Source organism: Homo sapiens, chromosome 12, assembly GCF_000001405.40.
Source record: "Homo sapiens chromosome 12, GRCh38.p14 Primary Assembly".
Classification (NCBI taxonomy): domain Eukaryota; kingdom Metazoa; phylum Chordata; class Mammalia; order Primates; family Hominidae; genus Homo; species Homo sapiens.
This window is the reverse complement of record NC_000012.12, coordinates 41,543,210-41,555,363: the sequence shown is the minus strand read 5'-3', so window position 1 is coordinate 41,555,363 and position 12,154 is coordinate 41,543,210. Positions and strand designations below refer to the sequence as shown.

Here is a 12,154-nt window from a genome sequence, read left to right as displayed (position 1 = left end):
GATCTTCAGTTGACATGAGGTGATGGTAATGCTAGGACTCTCTGGACCCAGGAAATTTACTTTTTGTCTTAGCAAAGCTGATAGCTGTAGTGTAAGTCCGTCCTTTTTTTTTTCTTTTTTTTTTTTTTTTTTTGAGACAGAGTCTGGCTCTGTCGCTCAGGCTGGAGTGCAGTGGCGCCATCTCCGCTCACTGCAAGCTCCGCCTCTCGGGTTCATGCCATTCTCCTGCCTCAGACTCCCGAGTAGCTGTGACTACAGATGCCTGCCACCACGCCTGGCTAATTTTTTTTTTTTTTTTTTTTTTTTTTTTTGTATTTTTAGTAGAGATGGGGTTTCACCGTGTTAGCCCGGATGGTCTTGATCTCCTGACCTTGTGATCCGCCCGCCTTGGCCTCCCAAAGTGCTAGGATTACAGGCGTGAGCCACCGCGTCCGGCCCAAGACCATACTTATTAAAGAGAATTATGTCTCATGGGCACATTAATTTATATATAAAGACATTTACAACCTATATTGCTCAAGAAACACACACACACACACACATACACACACACGCACATCTGATCCATGCATTTAATTACTCAGTACTACTTTACATGTGGGGTAAAGTATATTAACTATAAACTATTTTAGAATGTATAGATATTTAAGGCTGTATTAGGAGCTTATCAGCATTTTAATGGGCTAAACTTGAGTGATGACTTACAGTTCACTGCGGGTAATTTCATCTATCAGATTTCATGTGATGGCTTCAAACTTTATTTAGGCTTGTTGCATCAAAGCTTTTTTTTTTTAAGCAAACTGTTTCAAGTGTAGCATAAGGTTGATCCATCCTATCCATATGTTAGATATTACTTTCTTATTATGGGTGCCACCTAATAATTGAGTCTTAAATCATCAATCAAGAATAAGTGACACTATAATTACATGTAAGAGGTAAAAGGAAAACATTCCTTCCAAGTACATATGTTCAGATCCTGTGGCTTCTTTCCCTTCCCTGAAAAGTGCAGCTCCAATTCTGACATATTTAAATAGTAAATAGAGACTTACTAGAAGGAAGTGAAGGGTGATTCATGAACTGTATCCCATTTAAAAACCACTCACAATCTAAAGCCTCATCTTTAGAACTGTAATCAAACTAATATTAAACTTCTACCTTCCTATCTCTGTACATATTACAAGAGATAATGCCACAGGTGTTTCCTTATACTTCCTCACCCTAATCAGAGGAATTATCCTAATTGCATATTTAAAAGAAGTACATAAGTTGAATATTATCTGGAGATTTTTCCATCGCAGAAGCCGGTCAGTAAATTTTTTGGCAGAGGGATAAAGAGTAATATTTTACACTTACAGAGTTGTGTTGTTTTCTAAATGCATTAATTACATTATCTCTTCCACATTCTAAGCAGGTCTATCAAAACAATAAGATAAGCACTGTTGTACTCACCTTGTAGTTGAGAAAGCTGAAGCTCAGTATATTTAGGTAACGTTTTCAAGATTATGGCCAAGAAAACTCAGAACAGCATAGAGCAGCAATTAGTATCTAGTTTGTCTAACTTCTGCATTTATATATAAACATATGTACACATATGTTTTTCACATATAAGTATGTAATTTTTTATCATAAGCATATTTAATTTTAATTTATTTATATTTAGAGACAGGGTCTCATTCTGTCACTCATTGTGTCACTGCACTGGAGTGCAGTGGCACAATCATAGCTCACCGTAACATCGAATTACTGTGCTCAAGCTATCCTATTGCCAAAGCCTCCTGAGTAGTTAGGACTACCGGCATATGCCACCATGACTGACTAAATATTTTTTTTTTTTTTGTAGAGACAGAGTCAAACTCCTGGCCATAGGCAATCTTCCTGTCTCGGCTTCTCAAAGTGCAGGGTTTATAGGCATAAGCCACTGTGCCCAGCCTTAATTTTTAAAAACATTCCTTCCCACTTCACATAAAATAATGCTTTTTGCGAGTTTTAAAAAATCATCTCTTGTAATACAATTTGCTTCACAGTCTTTAAAAGGAATGAACACTAACAGTATCTCGCATTTTAGACTCTCACTTGTGCATTGCTTCTTGGCCTTTGCCTAAGATCAAGTGTGGAATCTCACTTGCGGGGTTGAATAAAACAAACTAACAGATGCACTCATTGGGTATTCAACTGTATCAATGCCATCAGCAGAGTAAAAGATGTGATTATTGTGAGTAGTAATTTAAAACAATTAGCCAGTGCTACTGTTAATAGAACTCATAAAAGACACAGTAGAATGGAAGGACAGATGTTTGAGGATCAAAAACTTTGCTGGACTTGCTGCATTCTTATGGGAATTTATTCAAATTTGGACAATGTTACCACTTTTGCACTTTTCCTTGCTGGGATTCTGGGGTGAAAGTATTCACATTAAACAAGCTCATAATAATTACATTACTTGGGCAGAATAATTTACTTTCCTAATTGAAGGTGACACGTTTTGGAACATGGCCAACTCCAATTCTTCACATTCAAGCCTCTGAAGGAAGGGTTTTCTCATTGTGAGTCATTTCGCTCTGTTCTTCCTAGTCTCCCTCCTCGAATTTCCCCTCCATGGCGTTTCTTACCTCGCTGACATAAATGCCGGTGTCTTCTTCATCATCTGTTCGGTAACAGACTGTCAGGCCCAGCTTCTCTTGACTGCTAACACGACACAACTCGACCTCCTGAAAGAACAACACACACAGATGACATTTATGTCAGAGAGAAAATCTGCAACAGAATGGAGAACTCACTGATATTCTTTGGGTTACTCTGGCAAGTATTAATAATTATTGCCCAACATTGGAAATTAACTTTTTTTTTTTTACCAATATTATTCAAATGTTCTTTCAGCATGGATTTCTATGTAGGGAAGCCAGTGTTTTATATTTTTGTTGTAAGTTTGGAGATACACAGTTGTTTGCATCAAGCTGTCAATGCAAAACTCCTTAAAAATTACACAATAATGTATAAATCAAATACATGTATACATGAATACACTGGAATCAATAAAATAATTGAGAATGTCAAAGTTAGTGGCAAAATGTTCATAAAAACATGAGGAGTTACTATTACATGTTTTTATTTGTATTGTAAGAAAACAACATAACTTCAAATAATAAAAAAAAGACTATACCAAGCTGTTTCCATCAATTCTGCTCTGAAGTTCTACACAATATGATAATAAGCAAGTGTTTTGTATAGGTCAGGCCAAGGTTTTCTATTATTTTGTAGAAACTCTCATTCTTGGAAAGAAATGGTTTCATCCAGGCTGAAGGGAGAGACATCAAAAGCCATTTGGGGCAGAGGCAATGATTCAAAATGAAGCAGTAAATGAACAGGAAAATACATTTACTGAAACACATGGCTAAGGGCTTGAAATGTCAGTCCTCAGGTAATGTATATTAAATTCATTTCCTGATTTATGTTCAGTAAAATAATAATAAATTTCAGTGTATTTCAGTTTTATATAATGAAATGGACTTGTACTACTTTCAGAAGCCGATGACTTCAGGATAAATTACATATTTCCAAGGATTAAAACACAAATTAGCACACTAATTATGGAGAATTTATTCCTATTGGATGTAGAATATAAGACCCATTAGTAAATAATTGGATGAAGAAGAACAATGTCTATTTAAATTAGAAGTGAAGTCTGGATCAATTTCTAGCACTCAGGCTCTGTGGGAGCTCTGAATTTATCTGTCTTGCTTAATGCTCTTTCTCCAGTGCCTACAACAGGATATTTCAGTGTGGGCACTCAGTAACAACTAGCTGAAGGGTGACTAATTTTATTTCAAAAATCTTTCCAGATGCACAGAGATTTTTGTAAAACCATAGGTAGGTAGTCTTTCCTCTTTGATTGGAAATAGAGGTGAGGTGTGTGTGTGTGTAAAGATTATGAAAGTTGATAAGAATAGAGTGCTAAGGTCTAAATGTTTGTGTTCCCTACAATTTGTATTAGGGTTTCAACATATTTTACCTACCAAGGAGGTGGGGACTTTGGTAGGTGATTACCAAAGGTAATCAACTTTGGTAGGTCGTAAGAACTGCTGAGCCCTCATGAAAAAGATTAGTGCCCTTAGGAAGAGGCCCCAGAGAGCTATCTTGCCTCTTCCACCATGTAAGGACAGACACAGTGAGAAGGTGACCTCTATGAGGAACAGGCCCTCACCAGACACTAAAACTCCTGGTGCCTTGATCTTCTACTTCCTAAACTCTAGAACTGTGATAAACTTGTTTCTGTTGTTTAGAAGCCACCCTGTTCATGGTATTTTGTTATAGCAGCCCAAATGTACAAAGACAAAAAGTATTCATTTAATTGTCTAAAATCTGAAATAGTTACCAGTACAAAATGAAGGAAAACTTACTTAACTTCAAACAAGAGAATATTTCCCAGAACACTCTGTACATTTGAGTATATATCCTCCTTTTCAATTTTGTATTTGAATGAAGTCCTTGTCAGTGGATAATAACCTGTTTAAAAATGATGTGCTGTACATCATGGGTAAATCCTTAGCAAGGGGATTTGCTCTCATAAACTCCAGTGACCAATAATTTCACAGATAATAGCAAATAAAACTAAATTTAAATCCTCTATTCTGAGATAGGTACTGCAAATTAGTGAAATGCATGAAACTATGAAGAATGCTGACTTTCTGACTGGTGGACAAAGATACTCTATATTATAGTGCTTAAGAAGGTTATAGTGTAGGCTGCACAGTAAAGAGAAAAGGTGAAACATCCTTTTTCCTAGACGTAGACTAGGAAACAGTGAAATGATTTAGCACCAGAAGCAAAAATGTACACACCAAGCAAAGTTCTTTTCAAAACTGGTAATAATTAATGCCTCCAGAGGGAAAGAATACTTGACTAAAACTGCAACATTAGGAAGGAATTATAGCAACAAAACAGCTTCAATTACAGCAACAAGGTATGTAGTTGAGGAGTATCTCTTAGTGATTCCTAAGAGGCCAATAAGGAAAACTACACACTCCAAAACGAGCTGAGATTGGGACCTTTAAATCAATACAAATGAGGAGCTGTAGCCAAAGCTGAAATCCACCGACTTTCAATGCCCTAACAAAGCACGGAAGCAACTCTCAGTATTGTGAGAAGACATTTTCAGCGGGGGACATTCTTTTTTGAACGTTTTCTCCACATTCTCAATGGTGTACTTTGACTTTGGTGTTTGCTTAGAACAACTTTTTGGCAATAAAATTGAGTGAATGTATTAAAACAAAAAGGGCACAATCTGCCTATAATTCTTCGACACCACAAATCAAAGCACTTACCCAAGTATCTCAGAGGAAAGGAGACTAAGGTCCTCAGGTCAAAGTAACTTTTCAATATTTTCCTTACCTTGGACCAAACCAAAACTGTGAAACAGGTCTCAAAGTTATCTCCATGGTCTTTGTTTCCAATATTCCCCTTTGTAAGACACTCAACACCCTCCTATTTCCTTTCAGCTCCTTGGAGTCCTTGAGGTATGAGTATTATAGATTTGCCATTTTGCTTGTCCCCTAACAAAACCTGGCATTCAGTGTGATTTTCCATTCTCTCACAGATAACTCTTGAGACATACAAATAATTGATACATAAATATCTCTCAAAGGAATCATCATTAACAATTACTTAACATGTGACCCCATCAGGCTTTAGCGCATATTAATAAAGGCTGAAAATACAAAGCCTTAATGCAAGGGACTAAACCCTTGGCAGAAAGCCTTCAGGCACCATAAGAGACCCAAGTGAGATTTTTCTGGAACCTGCAAACCACCTCACACCAGTCCCAAGTGTGAAGTTGTATTTCTTGGTTGAGATTGTCTCAGATACTACATAGTTTATATTAAAACACAGAAACATACATTTTAGAATCAAAGTTCCCTTAATTCTGTGTCAAAATAACTCATAAGCAGCTACCTGTAGACAATTTTGTTTGTAGGAGGCAAAGGTGGCTTTATAAAGACTTTGATTATCTGAAAGGAATTCTGCAGCACAGGTTTAATTAAGTATTCCCTTCACAGGACACACAAGCCTCTGACTTCTGAAGAAACAACCTCTTGGTAATAGAGAATGTTTTCCCTAACAACTTTCATACCTTTCCCTCTGTCACTTGGAAGCTGTTTGATGAAACACATAAAAGTGAAATGCTACCTCTGTACATTTTCTCCATGGAGACAATTCATGAGTGTATACAAATCAATGCCAAGCCTGCATGGATGGCAGCGCTAACCATCCATAAGTCATTTGTCACTAGAGTGAAAGAATCACTTCACACACCTGGTGAAACTACATTTATTTTGACTTAAATGTACTTCAAGACGTGCTATTCTGGGGACGCGTCTAAAGTCTCTTTAAAAAAAATCAAACTTCAGCATCTAATATTGTGAGAAATTGATTATATATAGGTTGAAGGTGGAGTAGAAGATTAGAGTTTGTTATTAAAGCTTGCTGTGAAACATCTTTCTAATCATAGAATGACACAAATGGGATTTTTACATACATTGGTTGTACTCCAGCGGTGTGAAATTTTTATATTTTTTTGTGATTGAGTCTAGGGAGAAATGAGAAACTTAGAAAAAAAATGCTTTCTAGATAGAACTCTCTCTTACTGGGGAAAGAAACAAGAGTTGACACTGCTTAAAAAGCATTGGCTTTTTAAGCAGCATTGTTCTCAAACTTTAAAGAACCCTTAGGCCCATGCATGCCATAAAGATTTTCCTCTTCGTAAGAAAATTCAAATGCAGTCAGCACTATTCAAGTTTGAAGAAGAGCTAGGGCTAGACACGCTAGCCGTTTATATCAGTTGACAACAGGGGAATGTAGGGTCTTTTATGTCCATATCTTTATTTATTTTCCTGGTTTTCATTTATTAGACAATACATGCACTTTTACTCAATCTGAGTGTTAATCATATATCATCTTACATTTTTTAATGTTGATTAGCAACTAGTGAAATATGCTTTGTTGTTCCAATAAAACACTTATTTCAAAAAATAAATCAAATGAGAAATATTAAAACTTTAATCCCCACAGCTAAGAGAAAGCTAGATAGTCTATTATAAAAATATTGCTTCAGTATCATTATCTCCTGCATAATGGAATCTGGGGATAATACTTAGTGAAAAATAAATCACGAAACTCCTGGAATATCAAATCCCTCTGACAAAACATTTCAGGTTTGCACCCTCCAACTCCAAATTATTCATAACAAGTTGCTGCAACTAATAATTAAATCACATTTCTGTAGAGACATAAGGGTAAAAGCTAAAGCCTATGATCATGTCTTTTCTCTAACATCCTTAACCCCGCCTGTTTATTTGACTACTTCTTTTTCAATGGTCTTCTGAAATATGGGCAACTTTTAACCTCCAATTTCCCATTCTTAGAATCAGAGACATTCTGGATTCTTTGGGAAAGAAAGCAGTCACATTTCTCTAGGCCCAGGTTGGCTGCTTCTCACTGTGGGCTGTGAATCCCCTTAAAAAGTCATCAATGACCTATTTGGTGTAGATTTTATACCTTAACAAAGAAGGAAACATTATTTTTGCCTCTACTGTTAATGGGGGAGGAAATGAATTCATGATGCTGGCAAACAACAGTCGATGTCAGGAAATCTGGACCAGGAATAGAAAAGAGAAACATAAATTGAAGTAAGTGAGAAGTGATTCATACATTTTGTTTTTATTTTATTTTTTAATTCTTTTTTTGAGACAGAGTCTCACTCTGTCGCCCAGGCTGGAATGCAGTGATATGATCTCGGCTGACTGCAACCTCCACTCCCAGGTTCAAGCGAGTCTCCTGTCTCAGCCTCCTTAGTAGCTGGGATTACAGGTGCCTGCCACCACCCCTGGCTAATTTTTGTATTTTTAGTAGAGATGGGGTTTCACCATGTTGGCCAGGTTGGTCTCAAACTCCTGACCTCAAGTGATCTGCCAGCCTTGGCCTCCCAAAGTGCTGGGATTAGAGGCATAAGCCACCGTGCCTGGCCATGATCCATAAATTTTGTGTCATTACTTCTGCTGTGACAACTAGGGAACCAGGCAGACTGCATGGAAACCTTTCCTAGAATGGGCTTCCACCCAAAAGCAATCTGTCTAAAACAAAGAACAAAGCTATAGAAGGAAACCAGGAAGACACTTCTGTTTACATCAGGAAGGTTTTTTCCCCCTTCTCTATTTTGCTTGTTGTATCTTTTGAGGAAATTGCAATTACTTTGCTATTTGTTAGTGTCATGTGGTTTACCTTTGGAAGAATCCAGAATCCAAGGTTTTTCATAGTTGAATGTTGAGTTTTTAGCAGATATTAAAATGATCATTTATTAGGTTCCTAAAGGTATTGCTAACTATCCACGGCCATTTGTGATTTGATTTCCTGACTCACATGTCAGTTTTTGGGAGATCTCCATCAAAATAGTTTAACATGCTATAAGCAATGTGTAGAAGAGGACATTCATAAAATGTCATTTTCATAGTTGCCTTATTTTAAAAATAGCAATGTTAAGCACTTCACTTCCTGGTCAGCTCAAATGCTCTTGCATTCCCACTCCAGCACTTTTGTTCTCTCGCTAGAGCTCGAACCTGTTGACCCTTCCCCTTCTCACTGTCAATAATTCCCTCAGGCTCACTCCTGTCTCCTTATGCAGCTTGAAATTCACAGTTAGATGTAGTATCTTTTTTTTGGCTTTTAAAATAACCTTTATTTTTAAAAAGTTAATATGTGCATTATAGGAAACTGAAAAACACAAGAAGCAAAGAACAAAGTCATTCACAATCACAAGCAGTTTATAGTTTGACATGTTCTTCTAGGTCCTGTGCATGTGTAGGCACAACATTCAGTTTTATGGGACTGAGATCGTACAGTATGTATCATGATTTTTCACACATCATGAATATTCCCAGTTCAAAATCCCAAAGCTATACGAGTATTTTGATAACCAAGAATACACTACACCAACTCAATCTGTTAAACAATAATCTAATCCTGCCTTTCTTGGGACAAAAATGGCAACATGACTCTAGATAAAAAGCATTGGCAGAGTTCCGAAATCCTCAACTACCCTGTTCTCTTTGTCCACTGTATCATCCAGAAGAAGGTCAATTGTGGTTAAGACCAAGTATTCACCTCCCTGCTTCCCCAGCTGAGCAGTGACATGGTCCCAGAGGGGATGCACACCATGACGACCATAGTGACTGCTTTCCCTGTACGTTCATTACCACAATTTGCAAATGAGCAATCCATGCTGCCCGACAATTATACTCTACTTTCCTTGCCAAGTTGCTGTTTCACATGCTAAAGGAACTAGTGCCATAATTCCTCCTCTTTTTTCAAATTTCCAACAAAAACCGCCCACTCTTAGTTGATGACGTTATCTGATAGTTCACTGGATCCTAGTGGATTATTATGACCTCAACTTTCTGCTCTCCCAGTCTGGTATCTCGTACCTCTTCTGTCTGCAGTTCTGCTACCATGCCCTTCTCTCTCTTCATGCTTGGCTGGTCATCTTGTTCTAGACTTCATGGAGGAAAAAGAAACCATGGAATGGAAACCTCTGTGTCTTCCCTCCACTTGTCAATCCACATGCATTTGTACGTAGAAAGACTCTCTGGGCTGCCTTTCTATACAGCAAAAGAAAAATCCCCAATCCTACCAAAGTTGAGTGCCTCCATTCATGCTCTGTAAACCATTCCTTTATTATTTTTCAAGAATTTATCTCATGGAATTATTCCTTCTTATCCTGTATTACTTATTTCAGTATCCTCATTAGATCACTCTCATTGTCACACACACACACACACACACACACACACACACACACACACACATTAATATCATCAATATGGGCTGGGGCAGAGGGAAATCTTGTGGACATGGTAGTCAGTTCTAGGTTGGGGGCTACTGGAAGAATCCAGCAAATTTTGAAGAGATCATAAAATTAGTCTTGGTGTTTACCAAGGAGACCAAATTTCCAAACAGAGAAACATTGACCATGCAAAGGCACAGAGGTAGGAAACAGCATTTCATGTTAGAGGAACTTTACGTAGTTAATGTGTGCGAAGCTAAGAGTTTAAGATTGGGCTGGGTGAGGGGTCATGGTGAACACTAAAACTGCAGAGGTAGGCAAAGGCCAGATCACGGAAGGATGACTACACCCTATTAAATAATTTGGGTTCTTTGCAAAAAGTAAACGGGGCTATTATAAAAGAAATAAAACTATCATATTTGTAGTTTAGAAAGATGACTTCAGCACTAGCATAGTGGGTGAGTTGGAGGGATTAAGCGAATGTTACCAGTTCATGCAAGAGAAGCTAAGGGCTTGAATGCAAGCAGTGTCATTGTCCTATCGGTTCTTAAACACAGTTATCATTATTTCCATTTCATAGATGAAGAAAAGAAGCCACAGAGAGAACTTGGGCCCAAAGTCACACAGCAAGTCAAAAGTGGAGTTGGGATTCACATTCTAGCTAAGGGACCTGGTCTGAATTCTAAACAGCACCTTCCTCTGATTTCATAGTATATTGCTCTTTCTCATTTTTCAGCTCTCAGCTTAATTGCCAGATGGTACCACTGTCTATCACTCTTTCTGAAATAGGGGTCCTGAAGTCCTCTATCAAAATTTCACTGATGCTTAGTAGCTTCTTGGCAATTATGAGCATTTATTTTTCTTTCTTTTTTTAATTAGAAAATTTGTATTTCATTAAGATGTTTAGTTTTAAAATACCTGTTTATTGTTCTCTAAGAAGGTCCTTATCTGTTAGGTCTGTTATTATATCCCACAGCATTAGATATGAAACAAAAAGAAATTTGTTTCTCTGAGGATGGCACCTTGCCTTCTTTTTCTTTGCATTTATAGTACCAGCAGAGGACTGAGAGCTTATGAGAAGCCCCACATGCGTTTGTTGAATTAGTTAACTGCTAAAGCGAAGTTGGGTGTAGAGTGTAATTGCTTTTGCTATATTTGTACAGCAGCATAATTGTCTTAGATTAAGTAGAATACGTTCTGAAAGCTGTACAAACAATAGATGTGACCCAGTCTCTTATCTCTGCCAACAAGAAAAGTAATCAAAAAATGAACTGTAAAATTAAAACAAAATTATCTATGAAGTTACTCATTCTAAGAATTCCTCTAGCATGTTCAGTTTTTACTTATTCACTTTACTCACTGGACATTTTCCTAGCACCTGCTACATGCAATGGATTACACTTGGAAACTTATTATGTACCAAACATTCCTCTAAATGATTTGTGAATAATGTTTCATTTAATTGTTAAGAATCTGATAGGATAATACAGTGCACAGTAGTTATTTCTGGTCCATCTAGCATTTATTCATGGTTTTTTTGGAAATATGACCCTAAAATTTATTTTGCAGAATTACACCTTTTTCTTTCTAGTCCATGTGTTTGTTCAGGGCTGATTCCAGCTCCAGGGCTGGGCTTGTGATCTAGGGATTAGCTAATGAGTGCATTTTATTTAGTTCACTGGGTATAGTGATCATTTCAAAAATGAGGATTTAGTTCAAGCCCATCAAAATCAGGTTCATGACTTTTGTTGAAACTATTAGGAAAAGAACACTTGTCTTTTCTATTGTATTTGAACCACAAAAATGTAGATCAGGAGTAGCTCAAAGCTTTATCATGCCACAATATATAGACCCTGAGAATGGATTCAAAAAAGCGAATAAAAGCCAAAGATGGAGAAAGATTGAAATTTAGTGCCACTATTTGAGCCCCTGCAACAAGTTATATCTAAAACAATAAACCTTTGGAATTTTTAGCAAGGAGAGCCAATAAAACTCCTTTTTCCCTTAAGCATTTGTTTTGGGTCTTCTGTTTCTTGGACTGTAGTCCCAATTGCTTTTTGTAGGTATTATCTACAAATTTTATGTTATAAATGAGGAAATTCAGAGCCAGCATTAAGTAATTTATTTAAGGTCACTCAGCAACTACTCATCAGAATCAGAAATTGAACACAGATCTCTCTCTCTCTCTCACACACACACACACTTTTTAATTCTGAAGATTGCTTTTTCAAGAGATGCATTCTTATAGTCCAATGGTCATTTAAGAGATCATTGTCTATAGACGGAGGCTTAAGCACATAAAGAATTCACTATAGTGCAATG

The 12,154-nt window shown here is 37.1% G+C and overlaps 1 protein-coding gene across 2 annotated transcripts in view; it reads right to left on the bottom strand.

Moving 5' to 3' along the window:
- Window positions 1–12,154, bottom strand: part of PDZRN4 (PDZ domain containing ring finger 4) — a 386,426-nt gene that overhangs the window by 19,382 nt on the left and 354,890 nt on the right. For both annotated transcript variants that reach the window (NM_001164595.2, NM_013377.4), the window contains one exon: window positions 2,610–2,708. In NM_001164595.2, the coding sequence (NP_001158067.1) occupies window positions 2,610–2,708 (99 nt within the window). The remainder of the gene's footprint in view (window positions 1–2,609; window positions 2,709–12,154) is intronic.